The sequence below is a fragment of the Homo sapiens genome, chromosome 5 (genome assembly GCF_000001405.40).
Source record: "Homo sapiens chromosome 5, GRCh38.p14 Primary Assembly".
NCBI lineage: Eukaryota > Metazoa > Chordata > Mammalia > Primates > Hominidae > Homo > Homo sapiens.
This window is the reverse complement of record NC_000005.10, coordinates 19,533,690-19,555,222: the sequence shown is the minus strand read 5'-3', so window position 1 is coordinate 19,555,222 and position 21,533 is coordinate 19,533,690. Positions and strand designations below refer to the sequence as shown.

The following is a 21,533-nucleotide window of genomic DNA, read 5'->3' as shown; positions in this document are numbered from 1 at the left end:
AAAGTTCACAGTGTGGGTCTCCACATGCTGCTCTGTTGGTCCATGTGGGAGCTGCAAGTTAGTCCTGCCTCCTCTCCGCCATTTTCCCTGGCTCTAGTCATACAACGTCTGAAGTACCATTTGGTATAAGTACAATTTTGATGCTTATTTCACACAGGATAAAGTGAATATACAATAAGGGTGTTATAATGTTGTGTCACAGTTATATTAGAGTAGATTTTGGATCTATTTGAACATTTCCTCCATTATAGTAACTCTTTGGACACATGTGCTTGTTGATTGTTCCAAAGTGTTAACTTGACATACCACAAAGTTGCTTTTTTTCCCCCTTAGATTCAACCTGAAGTCTAAAATAATTAAATTATTAATTAATAATTGACACTGGACAAGAATGTGGTCACTTTTTCATGTTTCATTAAAGATATAGAAGACCTCTAAAAATCTTCCATTTCTGGTTAAAGTTTATCTAACAGCCTAATGTCACCATCTTGTGACCAAACCAGGCTTAGCCCCAGGAAGGGAACCTGTGTTCTGGGAAGGTGTGCATAATTAGAATAAGTACCTTAGCCCTAGCTTAGTGATACTCTATAGATCTACTAACAGGGGAATAACATCCAAATAGCTTATGTATTTCATGCGAATTTTACAAAAAAAAAAATTGTTTTTTTTTTTGAGATGAAGTTATGCTCTTCTTGCCCAGCCTGGACTGCAGTGGTGTGATCTTGGCTCACTGCAACCACCTCCTCCAGAGTTCAAGGGATTCTCCTGCCTCAGTCTTCCAAGTATCTGGGACTACAGGCATGTGCCACCATGCTTGGCTAATTTTTGGATTTTTAGTAGAGACAGAGTTTGGCCATGTTGGTCAGGCTGGTTCTGAATAAAAAAATTCTAATAAGGTTTTGTAGCATTTCTAGAACTCAAGATTAATGCAATTTCTGATATCTCACTTACTTAGAGTCATAAATACCAGGAAGAAACATTATAATTGCATGTGCAGAGGTTTAGCTTAATTTTGCTTCATTGGATGGAAGTTTTGATTCAGGAGGTTAAAAAGTATCCGCAAATATCTATGTGCCATGTGTGCTGTCCATCCTATTAAGCACATAAGCACAATACTCACTTTATGTGAGAAATTATACCTTCTTTTTTTTAGAAAGATTATTTTCTCAATGCATGGCTTGTGTATTAAATTGCATTCCCAATGTTAACAAAGGGAATCATAATTCGTAAAGTGAATCTAAGCTATACTTCAGGTGCGTGACTTTTTGTTAAGCTAAAGGTGAGTCCAGGGTCAGGCGTTTTGGCTCACACCTGTAATTTTAGCACTTTGGAAGGTCGAGGCGAGAGGATCATTTGAGCTCAGGAGTTCAATACCAGCCTGGGCAACATGACAAAACACTGTCTCTACAAGCAAATACAAAAATTAGGGTGGCATACACCTATGGTCCCAGCTTCTTCAGAGGCTGAGTTGGGAGGATCACTTGAGCCCAGGAGGCAAAGGCTGCAATGAGTCGTGTTCCTGCTGCTGCAGTCCAGACTGGGTGACAGAGCAATACCCTGTGTCTCAAAAAAAAAAAAAAAAAAAAAAAGTATGAGACCAAGTTGTGGTAATATCTCACAGGGTATGTATTGATTAAACTTTATCCCAACTATTGATTATTCTCAACAAAACTTACAAAACAACTGCTTGGGTGACAAAATCTTAAATACATTTGCTTTACCATTCATGTCTTGTACCTGCAAATATTTACAAAGTGACAACTGAAAGAGGTCTTCTATACTTTATTTATTTATTTATTTTTTTAATTTTATTATTATTATACTTTAAGTTTTAGGGTACATGTTCACAACGTGCAGGTCAGATGATATTTCTCTAAGTAGGTCACTGTAAAAATGGATTTCTGTTACATAAGTTTTAAATTAATTTCTTGTGGTGAAATGGACAGAATATAATGAAAATAAGTGCCACTGAGGACTGAAGAGCTGTTATTGAAATGAAAAATAACATTTCTAATACACTTTAATATGAGTATTGATTATCACGAATGTATACCTAATCAAAGGGAAGCTGAGTTCCAAATGATGACCTGCATGGTTTGTTTAAAGTAGTTTCTGTGGAAGAAAATATTTGAGTAAAGGTAATCATTATTGAGATTGAATTTTTACTATGGTCATAAATTTTCTGTCTGTTTTTTGGTCCCTGAAGTACTAATTTCAATAATAAATTTTCATCTCACTTCAATATAATGCATTTTCTTTTTACTTTCATCATTGCTTTAAAACATTTACTAGAGATATGAAATGGTACAGAAGTTGAATGATAGAACAAAGAGTGGTGTAGAAATAAAAAATTATAGCCAGTATTTATAAGTTATATTGGGAACTTGGCAAGATCTCCTGTACTGGGTGAGGCATGAATGGATCCATTTATCTGTCAGTGTGAAATTAGTTAAGGTTTGCCTATGGGACTTGTCCAGTTAGAGGGCTAATAAAGACCACTGAGCAAATTTGAGCTGTCAGTAACTTAATTGTACTTTCTCTAATCTATAACTAGGAGACATCTTATTGATCATTGATCATACAACTTTCACAGTAGTGTTTAGTGAAGATACCATTTTGATGCTTATTTCACACATAATATAGTGAACATGTAGTGGTGATAGGGTTTGAATTATATGTCACAATTATAAGAGTAGCCGTTGAGTCTATTTCAACGTTTTCTCCCTCATATTAACACTTTTGACCACATATGCTTGTAGATTAGTACAGGATATTAACAAGATACACCACAAAGTAGTTGCTTTGCTTTTTTTCTTAGATTTAAACTGAAGTCTAAAAGATGAGCTTTCACAGTCAATAATTGTATTACATCTTAAAATTATTTCCAGAACTATGATTCTATGAATTTTGGGTGAGGCGCAAATTTATTTGTTCTTTGTGCAATGTTTAAATATTACTCAATGAAAGAGGGAATAAGCCAACTACACACCATAAAGAGAAAACAATTATTTCCCGAATAAATCTAACCAATTTTAAGCATAGTATTAGAAATCCATATGAAGGATGACATTAAGAATCTATAAATATCTTATCTAGATATGAAAACATACTGGCCTGGATAGGTAAGACACGATTTCTTGGCATGATTAGTGCTACCAACATATTTACAAAAGAAGTGAAAGACTACTATCAGTTGCATGAAATATTATCAGTCTCCATTATAACTGTTGATTGATTGGTTGGCTTATTCATTCACTTGTGAGGCCAAGCAATACATCTGTGTTATTATTGGTAGAAGTTAAAGAGCTTTAGTCTCATACACCTTCCAAATAAAAATTGCTCTATGTGAATTAAGCAGTAAATTAAAAATTAATTTTCTGACAAAATTTTCAGAAACAGGCTGAAGTTCTGGCTATTTATATAGAGACTCTTGTTTATTCAGTAGTAACCCTATTCATAACCCACTCTGTTTATAGTGCAGTCGTAGGAGAAAGAAACAACCAGTACTTACAATCTATGAACTGTCTTATCAAAATAGACTGAAGCTTCCCAAGAAAGAAAGGGAGAAAAACGTCTTCCTGAGAAGCCTTAAAACAAGTGATAGCTGTTTTCTATGAAGGCCTATCATTTAACCCTCAAGCATAAGTGATTTTCACATATCACTTCACTTAATCATCACAAGAAAATTATTATGTAAATGGTTCTCCATTTCACTCATGGAGACAGCTCAGAGAGACTAAATCTCTTAAGGTCACAATGCTAAGTGATACAGCTGTGATTAACAGGTTTGCTTGGTTTCAAACCTGGAGTGATTATCTTACTATGGCTTGATATAATATTCACATATATGCTGTGTCTATTTTAGAAATAATTTTCCTGGAATTGATCTTTACATTCTAAATAAACAAGGCTAAGAATCTGTGACTTATTGTACACAGAGAGAAAGAATGTAGGTGTTTTTCAGTGTCTTCAAAGAGGTTACTACCTCTGATATCTGAAAACTGGGAAATTTGTCCTTGGTAAGTGGCCCATCCCTCACCCTAATTCTTCTTGCTTCTTCATTTATCTTTAAAAGTCTGTGCTCTTACAATCCAAACATCCTTGACATTTTTCCCAATCTATGCATTCTCATCTTCAAAATTTTACAGAGATTATCTTTCTCTACAAAGTATCTGTACTCCTTTCATCTAGAAAGGTAATAATTATATTCTTTCATTTGCTATACTAGGTCTTACAGTTTAGTCAATCCTCATCTCACACCAGTTAGAATGGCAATCATTAAAAAGTCAGGAAACAACAGGTGCTGGAGAGCATGTGGAGAAACAGGAACACTTTTACACTGTTGGTGGGAATGTAAACTAGTTCAACCATTGTGGAAGTCAGTGTGGCGATTCCTCAGGGATCTAGAACTAGAAATACCATTTGACCCAGCCATCCCATTACTGGGTATATACCCAAAGGATTATAAATCATGCTGCTATAAAGACACATGCACACATATGTTTATTGTGGCACTATTCACAACAGCAAAGACTTGGAACCAACCCAAATGTCCAAGAATGATAGACTGGATTAAGAAAATGTGGCACATATACTCCATGGAATACTATGCAGCCATAAAAAATGATGAATTCATGTCCTTTGTAGGGACATGGATGAAGCTGGAAACCATCATTCTCAGCAAACTATCGCAAGGACAAAAAACCAAACACCGCATGTTCTTACTCATAGGTTGGAATTGAACAATGAGAACACATGGACACAGGAAGGGGAACATCACATACCGGGGACTGTTGTGGGGTGGGGGGAGTGGGGAGGGATAGCATTGGGAGATATACCTAATGCTAAATGACGAGTTAATGGGTGCAGCACACCGACATGGCACATGTATACGTATGTAACAAACCTGCACATTGTGCACATGTACACTAAAACTTAAAGTATAATAATAATAATAATAAAAAGAGTTTACTACTAAAGTCTAACATGGTGAATAAGGGCAGCCATGTTTACTGGAATGCTGATGTGTGGTTTCTTTCCTACCTACTACATGAAGCTTTTTTCTTTCTTTTTTTTTCTCTCTTTTTCTAGTCTAGCAGCCAATACCAGAAAGCACTAGTCTCCAAAATGCTATGTCACCTCTGAAGGAATTCCAAACCAGATTTAAGATCTTTCTTTCTCTCTGTTTTTCTCTAATATGTCATATGAAATCATCAAATTCCATACTCTCTGGATGATCTCTGGTGCACATATCTCTATTTAACTGTTTTTCCTCTTTCAGGACTGATCAAATACCATGTCCTTCATGAAGCTTTTATGCCTTGGAATTTTATACTCTGATCTCTTCATTAAACTCTCTGGCATCCATCATTATAATCAGTTACCTGTCCCTCCCTCCCTCCCTTTCTTTTTCTTTCTTTTTCTTTCTTCCTTTCTTTCTTCCTTTCTTTCTTTCTTTTTCTTTCTTTCTTTTTCTTTTCTCTCTTTCTCTTTCTTCCTTCCTTTCTTCCTTTCTTTCTTTCTTCTTTCTTTCGCTTTTCTTCTTTCCCTCCCTCCCTCCCTTCCTTCCCTCTCTCCCTCCCTCCATTTTTCTTCCTTCCTTCTTTCTTTATTTTCTTCTTTTCCCGAAGTAAACTATTTGACATATTCTCTCTTTTTTAATATATATCTTTCATTCTTTTTCTGTATTCTTTCAAATGAGAGTATTTTTGAATGAATGGATAAAGATTGTATTAGTTTGTGCTTGTGTTGCTATAAAAATACCTGAAGCTGGGTCATTTATAAAGAAAAGAGGTTAATTGGCTCATGATTCTGCAGAGTGTGCAGGAAGCATGGTGCCAGCATCTGCTTCTGGCCTCAGAGAACTTACAGTCATGGCAGAAGGTGAAGGGGAGCCAGCATGTCACATGGTGAGAGTGGGAACAGGAGTGAGAAGAAGTCCCAGGCTTTTAAGCAATTAGATTTTGCATGAACTACTGAGAGTGAGAATTCACTTAACACCAAGTGGATGGGGCCAAACCATTCATGAGGGATCCACCCCCATAATCCAGTCACCTCCCACCTGGCCTCACCTCCAATATTGGGAATTAGCTTTTAATATGAGATTCAGAAAGGAAAAACATTCAAACAGTATTATCCCCCCTTTAAAATTTTCTCCTTTTAAAAACAAAGAAGCTGGCCAGGCACAGTAGTTCAGGCCTATCCCAGCACTTTGGGAGGCCGAGGCAGGCGGATCACCTGAGGGCAGGAGTTAGAGACCAGCCTGGCCAACATGGTGAAACCCCGTCTCTACCAAAACTACAAAAATTAGCCAGGCATGATGGCAAACGCCTGTAATCCAGCTACTCGGGAGGCTGAGGCAAGAGAATTGTTTGAACCCGGGAGGCAGAGGTTGCAGTCAGCTGAGATTGTGCCATTGCACTCCAGCCTGGGCAACAAGAGCGACACTTCATAAAAAAAAAAAAAAAAAAGCTGATAAATATTACTCAGTAGACCTAGATTGTATTTTAATCTGTTGCACTGTCTCCTTAATGTTGGACAAATTCTCTATTACTCTGTCCCTTCGTTTCTTCATTTGCAAAAGGGAGCTAGTAATAGTACTTACCTCATGCAGCTGTTATGAGTGTTTAATGAACTAATATTTATAAAGCACTTAGAACCCCATCTAGTATACTGCAAGTGCTCCATAAATGTTAGATTTTCTTACCTCTTACTAGATAGCTTTGTTAAATAACTCATATACGCATTTAAGTATTTCCTCTCTGCCTCACACATATGGCAATACTCAAAGGTTTATATTAATGGCCAACTTAGAATTTGAAGAAATTGTTTAAAATGTCTTATCTGGCTATAAATCTTCTAGCCTCAATTTATTCTGGTTCATTTTTGGTAGCTGTAACCTAGAATTTTTTTTTTTTTAATTTAAAATCCCAATTCCACGGGTTTTATGATTAGTCCTCTTTTAGGACCTATGTCACCTAGGCAAATCGTTACTTGATTTTGTATTTTCTAAATATTTCTGATAATGTCAAATTAATTATTTGTAAAAAAATCTAAATATTGATATATACATTCATAAAGTATTGATTTTTTTACTTAGGGCTTATGAAACAGATTTTATTATAAAAATTATTTGAAAAGTAATTTACTGAGAATAGCCTCATCTCTTTTTAATGGTTTGATTAATAGTTTTATGGTCCCATGTCACTTCTTAATTCTAAATAATTAGCATTGAATGATTCTACATTTAATCTTCAAAATAGTCTTGAATAGTTTCTCTTTTCTCACATTTCCACTTTACTTACTTCTGAGTTTTTATTTCCATGTCTGGGCAGAAAGCCAAAAGTGGTTAGGCAGAACTATTTAGTTCTACTTGAGTCAAAATTCAATTGCAACTTCGTGAATAAGACTCTTTGGATCCAAGCATCGCCCACAATCTAACCCTTAGGATGTTGATTTCCCTAGAGAGCTAGATAGCTTAGGAAACTCGGAAGCAAATAACATGAGTCTAAAGATGCATGCCTAGCAGTATGCTTACCATTTTTCTAATATATAAACATAATTTAAAACTATATAAATTAAAATGTTTAACTCTAAAAATATTAAGCCACTGATATTAGCACTTATGTTAGAAAGCCCAGTGTGAAGTGGCTAAAAAAGAGGAGATTGCTCTGGCAAAAAGACTACATATTTTCAGAAAACAAAACAAAACAAAACCTATTTTCTTCCAGACTGACAGTTGTAAGGTGATCTAACTTCTAAAATGAGACATGCTCTGCCATATTTCATAGGGATCTATAGCACTACAATCTGAGCTTTTCTGATAGTTGCTGCAGGCAACTTTGAAGCTGAATAATAAGTTCCAAATTTGAATCCTCCAAATTTCAGATACAGAAGCTGATTTTCTTACAGTAACCAAAAATGGACAATTTCTTAAAGACAGGTTAACATTAGATAATAAAATAGCCAGAAAGCCTACTGACTACATGTTAAAGGATGCTGTCCTTTCCACATGATAAGACATCTGTCATTTCCTAACCAGTTCAACCCTCATCCTCAGCATTTTTCCTCTGGGAAAGGGATGTTATAAGAAGGGTTTTGTTTTTTTTCTAGTATAGACTCAATCTGAATTAAGTACAATGGTTTTACTGTAGCATGGCTTTATGCTTTGGGAACCCCAGTGACATACAGATTTCCCACTATTCTGTAGCATCTGGTTTTTGTGTCTCAGAATAAGATTTACTTTAGAGTTGTACCTTTTCTTGTTTAAATTTCTTTTTTATGTTAAACTTTTTTCAATTAACATATACTTATTATTAGAAAATTTAATGTACAATGGTCAGTTCCTTGTTTTGATCACACCGTTCCAAGTGATACAATCTGTCTCTTTTTATGTGTTTTTTACTGATAAGTTAGATTTCTTGGCATGCTCCTTGCTCTGTAGTTTCATTCTCCATGCTGCTATTAATATCTTCTGCCATGTGTGTTCATGCCTCTCCACAGGAGGTTAGAAGATTTCACACCTTAGCAATATGCTCTGCATACCCTTCTAACACCTTATGCCTATGAGAGGCATGGGGTTGGTTGTATTGCAATTCCACTTACACTCTGTTCTAGAAAGTATGATGAATTTTGTAATATTTACATCACCACACCTACCCTATATTTCTACCCAGCTTTTCATCTTTTCCTCATACTAAAATGGAAGAAGCATCCCTGTTACTTTCAATGGGAAATTTCTATATCTGTTCCCCGGAATCCAATTATTTTCACCTTCTCATGAGTTTTACAATTTTTGATAGTCCCCTTTTTCAAAAGCATCATTTCTTTCAGCAAAGACAATGCTTCTTATTTCCCATATAAAAGAAAATAATTTGTTGAACCCACTTTTCTGATGACACAAAATGCTTTTGTTTCTGCTGTTCATTCATTAAAAGATATCAATCAATTGTCTTAACTCATGGTCTTTGTATCTTCACATTCAATATACTGTTGAAGCCACTGTAATAAATCTCCAGTCCTTTGATATATTTTCTGATGTTATTCTTGACAAGTTAACTATTAATAATACTGTCCATCTTGCCAAATCCAATTAACCCTCACTAACCTCAATCAACCTCCTAACAGAATTCACCCCAGTTGTTAGCTCCTTCCTTCCTGGTAAGCCATTTCTTGGCTGCATGCCACTCCCCTTCCCAGTTTTCCCTCTCTCCTTTGGCTGTCACCATCTCCGAACAGATACTGACCTGCTCTATACTCAATAGGTTGTGTACTTCAGTGCTCAATCTTTTATTTCTTTTCTCTTATAATTCTGTTCCAGATGAGATTATACCATTCCCATTACCTTAGCTTTATGCTGATATATCATCTCAAAGTTATATTTCCTATTTAGAAAGGACAATTGAATTCCATACCCATATTTGACTTTTGCTTTTTATTCCACATGGGTATCTAATGGGCATTTAAGGCATAATCATTAATTTTTCCCAAACTACCTTTCCCCAGCTCTTTTTATCCACCTCAGTAAAGGGGCCTATCAATTAAATAGTAGGTCAAACACGTGTGGAAATGGAGTCACCTGTGATTTAATTGCTTTACTAATGCCACTGCAACAAGAAGTCTATGAATTTCATTTCATATATAACAGTATGTTGTACACTTTTTTCCATCATCTTCTATCTTTCCATCTTTGTCCAAGTTGACAAATAATTTTTTTTATAAATTGTTTTCAACTTTCTACAGTATATGATAAAAAGTAGCCACTGTTATTTTTCAGAGCATTAATAAATCTGTTTTTATTTTCTTGAATTTGAAATTCTTGCCATTGCTTTCACAAAAGATACCTTGTCCTACCTTGTCCTAACTCTTGGAGATTCATGTCATTCAGTCTCCATAGCCACATTGACATAGATTTGTTTTCTAACCAATTGAAACTGTTTCTTTAATTTCGATCTTTGCATCTTGGTTTTCTCTGTTTCATATATTCTTCCCTAGCACTTTTCACATAATTAATCAGTCCATTTCATCTTTCAGGTCTAGATAAAATATTACTTAAGCTGAGATTTAAAAAGAGAAAAAAGCATTAGAGGCTTTAGGAGAGAATATTTATCTCCTTAAATAGTTGAAGAAATAGTCTGAAGCTTTTCTAGAACATATGATAATTGTTTAATAGTATATATTCAGAGACATGTTAATCAGCTGTTGCTAAATAACACATAACTCCAAAACTCAGGGGTCTTAAAAAAAAGCTGTGTCTAACTACACTGCATGTGTCGGTGGGTTAGCTGAGGGCTAGCTGAATTAGGCTAGCTTTTGATGCCAGCTCTGTTTATCTCTGGGGCACTCCATCGTGCATCTGCACATTTACTAGATTGATCTACGCTAGGTTGGGAACCTTAATTGGGACAACTTTGCCCCGTGTGTTTCCCTTCCTCCTGCTAGGACAAGTTAATTAGCCCAATCATGCTTTTCCTGTGGCAGTGGCATAGGACACAAGGAAACATACAAAGTCTCATGAAACCTAGGCCCAGAAAGAAGACAGACACCATCACTTTCAGCTCATTTGATTACAAAAGTAAGCTGAAATCTAACGCAATATAAGAGAACTCTACAAAATTACATGAATTGAAGAGGGAAAAATAATTTGTGGCCTATAATTCAACCTATCTTTATTTATTTTTTTATCTCATTCTTTGACTAAACAAGGGTTTAGTTGAACTGTGATGGAGGTACAATGTTAATAAATATAAATGTTTTGTTTTTCATTTTATATTATTTTTAAACCTTAGCTACAATGAAATTTCAAGATAAATTCATCTCTGACTTCAAGGATTCTAATTTTTTTTGAATAATAACAACAAGAAGTCTTATTATAGGTTTAATATTTTTTTTCATTAAACATATTATAGGCTTCCAAGAGGTGAGTTCTTTTGGTCTCTCCACTATTAATCGCTGTTTCTGCTATCTACTTTTATTCATGGAATTTGGTAAGACCTTATAAAATTATTCTTTGAATTAGTAATTGAACTTAGAATTAAAGACTGATGGATAAGAATAATTGATATAAGTTCTATAAAAATATAAAGTTGCCATGTAATCAAATATAGAATTTAAAAGTATATTTGAATATTTTAATGTATTTAGATATAATACTTTCCTTGGTTCAGTTGTATTTTCTTCATTATAACATCAAGTAAAAACTTCTCTTTTTTTCTCTAGATACTTCATCAACTACAATGTTGAAGACGACAGATTTTTCAACATTGATGCCAATACTGGGACCATTAGGACTACAAAGGTTCTCGACAGAGAAGAAACTCCATGGTACAACATCACAGTCACTGCTTCAGAAATTGGTAAACTACTTTATGTATCACAGTAAAAGATGTCACTTGTACAAGAAGACATACTGAAATTTCCTTAAGAGCAGGGCTCTCATAATCTTTATTTTTGATATCAGGATCTAGGAGAGTAAGCGGAGTGTATTAGATATAATTTCTCATTATCAGATAGCATGAATAAGTCTTATGCCTTCCTCCTTACTGTAATTCTGGCATGGTGATGGAAAAGTGGCATCACAGAACACTTATGCCTCATCCTTGAGTCAAGGGCATTTGGTTCTCCTTCTAATTGGGAGACTTGCTTTTTCATTTGCTTTTGCCTTACTTACACTATCAAGTCATTGGAATGACTTGATATGTGTGATAGTTTAGGAAAAAAGAAAGAAAGAAAAATGTATAATTGCACATTGATTATTTTGTCAATATAATACCTCTGCTCAAGTTTCAAAAACACTTATAGAACTTACAGTAAAAGAATAATTCTTGGAATTTCAACAGCCAGGTTTAGGCTCTCTTCAAGTAACATACGTGATCTACAGTTGAGGATGACTCTTGTTCTACCTCCACCCAGAATATTCCATTGTGATAAACACCTAAGCTCAGGAAACAACATAAAAAAATATATATCCGTAATACTTCTGGAATCATAAAGGTAGATATGACTGTGTTAAATGAAATTAGAATATAACTCTAAGAAAATGAATCCATCTTCATAACAATAAAGTTTTTTTAACATATTCGTAAGTAGACCAAAAGTACCAATTATCCTCACTTTAAAAGTGTACGAAGAGGTTATACATACATTTAGGAAATGTTTTGATGTATTCATGAAAAAAACCATGAATATATTAGAGATTAAGAATACTTCACATTTGAAAATAGTGCCATGTAAAGTAAAATCACGTTCTGTTTTTCTTTCAGAGGGTCTAAAACATTAAAAATTTTAACAGCTTCATTGATATACAATTCACACAGCATAAAATGAACCCTTTTAACGTGTATAACTCAATGGTTTCTAGAATATTCACAGAGTTACACATCCATTACCATAACCAATTTCAAAACATTTTTATTACTACAAAAAAAAAAATTCTGCATTACTTAGTCATAATCCCCCACACTCTTTCACCTTAATTCAGGAAGCCATTAATTGACTTTCTGTCTCTATAAATTTGCCTGCTATTGCTTTGCTATATAAAATAATCATATAATAGGTAGTCTTTTGTGACAGGTTTGTATCATTGAGCATGATGTGTTCAATGTGTATGCATATTATAGTATGTGTCATTGGTACTTCATTTTTTTATTGCCAAAATTATTCTATTGTATTGATATACCACATATTTATCCATTCTTTACTTGACAAACATTAATCTGGTTTCCATTTTTTTCCTAATAGGAATAATATTGCTGTAGGCATTGGTGTAAAAGTAGTTGTGGAAATGTTTCCATTTCTCTTGAGTATATGCCTAGGAGTGAAATTGCTGGTAACTCTTATGTGTAGCCACTTGATGAACTAGCAGATTGTTTTCCAATGTGGATGCACTGTTTTACATTTCTGACAGCAATAGGGTTTCCTATTTCTTCATATTTCCACCAACATTTGTTACTATATGTCTTTTTATTATAGCCATTCTAGTGGGTGTGAGGTGGTATTGCACTGTAGTTTATGCATGCTTCTATTGCCCTTAGTTATGTAGCAGTCATGAGGCTACTTCAGTGTTTTTGATTCTACTTGGATTTTGGTGTCTGCAAAATTAGCTCAAGTGGCTTCCATTTGAATTAGTTTTTCACCATAATATCTCTGTAAAAGTAACCTTTCACTAATTACTTTTAAAGGGGTTCTCTAAAGAATCCATGAGTGAGTTCAATTGTAATCATTTCTGGTTATTTTCATCTTCAAAATAACCAGACGTTAGCAATTGTGAATCCTTAGTAATGTAAGAACAAATTAAATGGCGGTTAAATAATAAGGACTCATTAAAACTTAGTTAAGAAATAAAGGGATGAATGGAAAAATATATCCAAGAAAAAAATTATGAGGGTTAATATGGTTTGGTTGTCCTCACCCATATCTCATCTTGAATTGTAGCTCGCATAATTCCCACCTGTCATCGGAGGGACCCAATGGGAGGTAATTGAATCATGAGGCCGGGTCTTTCCCATGCTGTTCTCATGATAGTGAATAAGTCTCAGGAGATCTGATGGTTTTATAAAGGGGAGTTCCCCTGCACACGCTCTCTCTTGCCTGCCGCCATGTAATATGTGACTTTGCTTTTCCTTTGCCTTCTTTCATGATTGTGAGGCCTTCCCAGCCATGTGAAACTAAGTCCATTAAACCTTTTTCCTTTATAAATTACCCAGTCTCGGGTATGTCTTTATCAGCAGTGTGAGAACAGACTAACACAGTAAATTGATACCAGTAGAGCGGGGTAGTGCTGTAAAGATACTTAAAAATGTGGAAGTGACTTTGGAATCGGGTAACAGTCAGAAGTTGAAACAGTTTGGAGGGCTCAGAAGAAGATAAAAAAAATGTGGGAAAGTTTGGAACATCCTGGAGACTTGGAGTGCTCGGAAGACAGGAAGATGTGGGAAAGTTTGGAACCTCCTAGAAACTTGTTGAATGGCTTTGACCAAAATGCTTATAGTGATATAAACAATAAAGTCCAGGCTGATGTGATCTCAGATGGAGATCAGGAACTTTTTGGGAACTGGAGCAAAGGTGACTCTTATTGTACCTTAGCAGAGACTAGCAGCTTTTTGCCCCTGCCCTAGAGATCTGTGGAACTTTGAACTGGAGAGAGATGATTTGGGGTATCTGGTGGAAGAAATCTCTAAGCGACAAAGAGTTCAAGAGGAAGCAGAGCATAAAAGTTTGGAAAATTTACAGCTTGTTGATGAGATAGAAAAAGAAAAACCCATTAACTGGGAAGAAATTCGAGCCTGCTGCAGAAATTTGGATAAGTAACAAGGAGCCAAATGTTAAACACCAAGACAATGGGGAAAATGTCTCCAGGGCATGTCAGAGACCTTCACAGCTGACCCTCCCATCACAGACCCAGAGACCTAGGAGGGAAAAATTGTTGTGTGGGCTGGGCCCAGGGCCCCCTGCTGTGTGCAGCCTAGGTACTTGGTGCCCTGCATCCCAGTCGCACCAGCTGTGGCAAAAAAGGGCCAAGGTATAGCTTGGGCAGTGGCTTCCTAGGGTGCAAGCACTAAGCCTTGGCAACTTCCACATGGTGTTGAGCCTGAGGGTAGATAGAAGTCAAGAATTGAGGTTTGGGAACCTCCTCCTAGATTTCAGAGAATGTATGGAAACCCCTGGACACCCAGACAGAAGTTTGCTCCTGGGGTGAGTCCTCATGGAGGACCTGTAAGGCAGTACAGAAGGGAAACGTGAGGTGCAAGCCCCCACACAGAGTTTCCACTGGGGCGCTGCCTAGTGGAGCTGTGAGAAGAGGGCCAACATCCTCCAGACCCCAGAATGGTAGATCCATTGACAGGTTGCACTGCACACCTTAAAAAGCCACAGACACTCAATGCCAGCCCTGAAAGCAACTGGGAGGGGTCTTGTACCCTGCAAAGCCACAGGGGTGGACCAGCCCAAGCCCATGGGCTTGTATCAGCATGACCTGGACGTGAGACATGGAGTCAAGGGAGATCATTTTGGAACTTTAAGATTTGACTGCCCTGCTGGATTTCAGACTTGCATGGGACCTGTAGCCCCTTTGTTTCGGCCAATTTTTCCCATTTGGAATGGCTATATTTACTTAATTCCTAGACCCCCATTGTGTCTAGGAAGTAACTAATTTGCTTTTGATTTTCCAGGCTCATAAGCAGAAGGGACTTGCTTTGTCTCAGATAAGACTTTGGACTGTGAACTTTTGAGTTAATGCTGAAATGAGTTAAGCCTTTGGAGGACTGCTGGGAAGACATGATTGGTTTTGAAATGTGATGACATGAGTTGTGGGAGGGGCCAGGAGTGGAATAATATGGTTTGGCTGTGTGTCCCCACACAAATCTCATCTTGAATTGTAGCTCCCATAATTTCCACATGTTGTGGGAGGGAGCTGGTGGGAGGTAATTGAATCATGGACCTCGTCTTTTCCAGGCTGTTCTGGTCATAGTGAATAAGTCTCATGAAATCTGATAGTTTTATAAAGGGGAGTTCTGCACAGGCTTTCTCTTGCCTGCTGCCACGTAAGATGTGACTTTGCTTCTCCTTTGCCTTCTGCCATGACTGTGAGGCCTCCCCAGCCTCAGATATGTCTTATTAGCAGTGTGAGAACAGACTAATACAAAGGCATTGAGCTAATTCTTCAGAAAAGAGAATCAACTCCAGAAGCATTTCAATCAGAAGCCATGCTTTAGATTAATTTTTTTTCACTACCTCACTCCAAATAATATTTGAATTAAGTAGAATGTAGTTTATGAATATATATGAGTTCATGCATTCATGAAAATTATGTTATTTGCAGTCATCACCAAAATAAATTCCTGTTTTTACTAAGTAACATCCTAATTATATATTTACTTGGTAAAATATAGGTATATTTTTATTATGTGCAGTACTTTATATGGGGTTTGAGTTAATCTATATCTATGAAGTAAAGCAGTACAGTAAATTGTAATTTTCTGAGTTTTTAGGTGGTAATAAAACAACCTTGGAGAACACCTCAATGAGCATTACTAAAATATAATTTAATTCTAATCATAAACAGGTGTATAGAAAGAAAGAGCACTAGTAAAGATTTTATAGCCATGTTGGGAGACTGTATTTAGAAATGAAATGCATGCACCGATTCCGTGGCTTAATTGCCTGTTAATGTCATTGGGAACATTGCCATGTACAATTGTTTGTCAACCTTAACCTCAACATCACCACGCTACCCAAGTATTTTCTAATATATTCTGTTTTGGAAGGGTAGCTGGTACTTTTTCAAATGGGATTTTTAAAAATCTTCTTAATGTACCGTTTCTGAAGAGCCAGTTGTTTTGTGAAGTGATATTTAGTAGTGAATGTTTGTAAGTACTTTTATAAGGCTACCTAGGGATTTATGCCAACAAGAGAAAGGTGCCTCCTCTGGGCAGGTGAGGCATTGCAGTAGGATTTAGGAATGAATGAGGGCAAGGGAAAAACAGTGCTCCTTCCTTCTTGTGAGTAGGCCTTGTTTCAGGGTCATACAAGATATCAATAGAAATATTCCAGTCCCTAAATCTGTGCTTATTCTAATATGGCCCTGTAGGGAAGCTGATGTTTGGTGAGCCCAATCATTGGTCAGGTTATTTTAGCTCACTAACGTTTATTTTGTTATTTATTTTTTAAATTTATATTGTGAAGTAAATTAACTCTTACAAATGTAAAGATGACATTATGAGTGCGATAAAGATGACATTATGAGTATGGTCAGGGACCTAGAAAGTGTTGTATTCTCATCATATATCACAGTTTTTGGGAAAAAGTACTTTCTAAGTAAAGGCCTACAGAACATTTCTGCAGTGGGTAACACCATCTTCCCTCTGTGCAATCTATAATACAGCTGTTTGGTAATTCGAATTAGTTTTCTGTTGTTGTGTAACATATAATAATATGATTTCTGTAGGTCAGAAGTCCAGGTGGGCTCAACTGGGTTCTCTACTTAAGGTCTCAAAAGGCTGAGATCATGTGCCAGCTGGGATGAGCTCTTCTCCAATGGCTATGAGATTCTTACTGGATAATAAACTTTCCTTCAAACTTACATGCTATCACGCAATTTTCCCTTTATGTGTCCCTGGTATAATGCATATTATGCATATTTTCATTCCAACTCTTTGTTAGGAACTACAAATAAGGCATCAGTGACTGCCTAATAACCAAAACCTATCAATACTTTTTACCTTTTATCTTTCCGTCATTTCTTTGTGACATTTGACTATGTTCATCATTCTTTTACCTCTTAAAATTTTCTGTATTTTAGCTACTATTCCAGTATGTTGGTATTGGGTACTTTATAATCTTTATCTTAAAGTATCTTTCAATTAACTCATGCAGAATATATTAATAAATGATACTTGCTAGTCAGTGTGGTATTTTAGACACCAGGGATATTGAGAATATTATTTTGCCTTTGAGGCATTTGAGTGTTATTCATAAGACAAGGTAAGTAGATAATTGCATTATGGAAAATTACTGCAGAAAGAGGATTTTTTAGGGATAAGAGAGATTTTTTAGGGGCTACAAAACTGGTAGTTTAATCACTCTAAGAGGATCAGTGAAGGTTTCATAGGGAGGATAATGCATGGATTCAGTCTTGAGGTGAGGGATGAGTAAAGGTTGCCCTGCATATTCTCTTCTGATTCCAAATGTGTCTGAATTTGTGTATTAGGATTCTCCAGAGAAACAGAGCGATAGGGAGGATGCGTGGGTGTGTGTGTGTGTGTAATGTGTATGTGCACATACACACACTTACATATGTACATATATTGAGATCTGGAAATAGATTGATAAATAGAGAAAGAGAGAGAGAAAGAGAGAGGGGGAACAGGTAGATTTATTATAAAAAATTGGCTCACATGATTATGGAAGCTATCACATCCCAAATCTGCAGACTCTGTATCCCACTTTGAGTCTGAAGGCAGGCAGACTGCTATAGAACCAGAAAAACTCATGCAAAACTGTGAAGCAGGAGAATTCTCTGTCACTGGGGGGGAATTACTTTGGTTCTAGTCAGGCCTTCAACTGATTGAATGAGGCCCACTAACAATATGAAAGACTGTCTGCTTTACTCAGTCTCCTGATGCAAATGCTAATCTCATCCAAAAACACCTAGAATAATGTGTAACTATACATATCTGAGCACTCCATGGCTCAATCAAGTCCACACATAAAATTAACCATCACAGTACCATAGACTGTATCATTTGCACCGTTATCTGAGTGATCTTTCACAATATCTGGATCTCAAACCTGACTACACATTATATTTTTGAATCACCTCGAGTGCCATACCCACTGCTCATCTGAGATTCTGAGATTCATTTTTTCCTGGAGAAGGTCTTCAGCATTTTACATTCCAAACCAGTAGCTCTCAAAGTGTGTTCCATGGGAACAAATAATGCAGATCCTCAGGCCTTGGCCCAGATCTAGTGAATCAGACACTCTGTGGTTGAGGCCCAGCGACCCTGGTTGTACCAGGCCTTCCATCTGTTTCTCATTCATGCTAAAGTTTAAGGACCATTGCCCTATATGAATCCAATGTAAAGTTAAGGTTAAGAAACATTGTTTCTAACCACAATTTGATTTAAATCATAGCTCCATTTAGTTCCAATCCTATGACAAACATATGCACAGAGATACGTACACATTTCCTGATTGTCTAAGAAATAAACTCCACGTGTATCAATTTCCTTAACAAGACTCAGCCCTCTCTGTTTTCAGCTTAATCCTCTGAAAAATGTGTATTACGCTTTTCATCATAGTCTCCAAACAGGCCAGGTTTTTTCAATAATTTCATAACCCTTTCATCTTTCAGTGACCTGTTTTCATTTTGCTCTGCTTTCCAAAGTTATTTACTGGTAAGAACTGTTTCAAATGTCACAACTGTAAAAGTTTTTCAACAACTTAGACAAATGTACAGTTTCTTTTCTTCCACAGTTAAATGTTCTGCATGCATTAAGTATAACACTTATTGCATTTCATTGTAGTATTTTTTCACCTCTATGGGCTTGTAACCATGTCAAGTTTAGAAATCTGGTCTAACTTATCTTTGTTCATCATAGTATTGTCAAATACTTAGTGAATGTCTTGGTGTATAGAACGTGGTTAGTAAATTTTGTTAAATACATAAATATAATTTGCTCCTAGTTTCTCCACCCATCATACCAGCTCAACAACTTCATGATTCACTACACAATTTATTCTTCATTTAATGCAAATATCCTATTTAACCTTGTTCTGTGCACTAAATGTAAAAATTTCTTTGACCTGGTCAGTTCACCAAAAGGAAACTCTAATCATTCATTGCTTGTATAATAGATAAATTTCCAAAAGAGCCAAAGTTTGGGAGATGATACTTTATTGAAACTTTCAATGTGTCTGAAAGCTTCTGCTATTTCCAGAATTTACAAATGAAACAACAAAAATTGCATATTGTATACATTGCTTCAGCTCTCTTTTTCACTTGTGGACATAAGAGTCCACAAACCAATGTTTGTGTTTTCTTTATTCATTGAGTCTTTTTAGTTATTTTTTTCTCGACTCTCATGCAAACATATCCAAAGACTAGAATCCACAAATTTCAAATGTAATCCAACTGTTAATGTCAGATAATAGAAATGAAATTTAGTGTTTGTGAGTGTATTCCTTGTTGCCCTTTAATATGAAGTTATTTTTGGTTAGCAGCTGCATCTAAGAATATAAAAACCCGTCACCTCGGAGTGAGTATTTTTAAGTCCCTGTAGCTTATAAACATTATTTTATTATTATCAATGTGCTTATTTTGATGTATGCAATTTGTCTTCCACAAATGTGTTTGTATTACCAATTTCCCTTAGCACACAAAGAGATCCTAATTAGCACTTTTACTTAGCTCGCGAAGGGAATAGCACAGAAAGAAATCAGTATTGCCTTAACCAATGATCAAAAGTAATCAAACAAAATGCTTTTCAGGAATATTGTGTATACATATATGTATCAATCCATTGCCATATAACAGATTACTTCATAATGTAGTAACAGAAAACATCAATAAACAATAGTGTGTTACCCAGTTTCTTTGGCTCAGTAATAAGGGAACAGCTTACGTGGGTTATTCAGGTTCAGAGGTATTCAAGAGGTTGTCACCCAGATTTTGATTAGGGCTGTAATTATTTCAAAATGTGACTGGGCCCCAGGGAGATGCTTCCAACATGTCTCACTTACATAACTAGCAAGTTGGTGCTGGTTTTTGGCAAAGAACTCAGTTTTTCACATCATGGACTCCTTCATAGGACTGCTGAGTGTCTTGATTGTCATGGCAGCTGGCCAACTCAGAGTGAGTTATCCAAGAATGAGTGACCTGAAGGCAACCATCTTCTTTATGACCTAGCCTCAGAAATTACACATTGTTACTTCTGCAATATTGTATTTAATATTATTAAATATGGAAAACCTTGTTAAATATGGAAAGCCATTATACAAGGATATGAATACCAGGCTGGAATAATTGGTATCGTCTTGGAGGTGGCTGCCAGAATTTGTTCGAATGTTTTTACTTATATGTAAAAAAGCACACAAGTAAAAATAATTGAATTTGTTCTCAAATTTAAAAGAGATTTATTGGCTCATGTATCTGTAAAGTGTATAGGTAAATTAAGCTATGAGTTTGCTTTGATCAGGTATCTGTCTCCAATTCTCCCTGATTTTTCATCTTCTGAATTTTTTAACGTCACCTTTTTCCTTCATGTTGCTATATTATAGTAACAAGTAACAAATTGTATGTTAACTTGTAACATGGTAATAAGATGAGTGACGCTAAAGTTGGGTTCATGCATTCTCATTCACAACCTGGGGAGATAAATTGTCATTTTACATAGCCATTAAAAATGTTGCTGCTTTCAGTTTTTTTTTAATGTATTAATCTCCTTTCACTGCCTTAAAAATGTATTTAATACATGAAATTTGTCCATAAGTGGATGAATTATTGTAACAAAATGAAAGGCATGTGGACACTGACTCAGGACCATCAGGCCTATATTTTTATTATTGCTCATGGTTAACTCCTTTCATACCTTTTAGGTTCTACACAATAAGGAGCAATTTGATGAGACAATCACAATATCCACCACATTTACTTAATGTGCCAATACATTTGATGATTTATTAATTGCAATATCCCAGTGTTAGTATCATATTGTAAGACAATTAGAACAAGTTTCTTTATTCAAAAGAAACTTCAAATCACTCAAATAATTTTACACAGCATTGCTAGATATTTATTTTATAGGTTTCCTTTCATTAAATTTCTAATACCTCTTCCAATTTCTTTACATGTATTGTATCAGATAACATTGCTTCTCCAAAAACTTATAAAATAAGAGCAATCAGAAAGGGGTTTCCATATTCCCGTGCCATCCTATATATCAACCTAGCTAGTGGATGTTGATATCTGTAAATATGGCTTTTTTCAGGTTCCTGAAATGCACTGTCCATGCCAAGTCTCTGGCCACTCCTTCACA

General features: G+C 35.8%; 1 protein-coding gene across 20 annotated transcripts in view; it reads left to right on the top strand.

Moving 5' to 3' along the window:
• Positions 1–21,533, top strand: part of CDH18 (cadherin 18) — a 1,104,418-nt gene that overhangs the window by 1,020,491 nt on the left and 62,394 nt on the right. For all 20 annotated transcript variants that reach the window (XM_005248228.5, NM_001349562.2, NM_001349556.2 and 17 more), the window contains one exon: positions 11,218–11,354. In XM_005248228.5, coding sequence (XP_005248285.1) covers positions 11,218–11,354 — 137 coding nt within the window. The remainder of the gene's footprint in view (positions 1–11,217; positions 11,355–21,533) is intronic.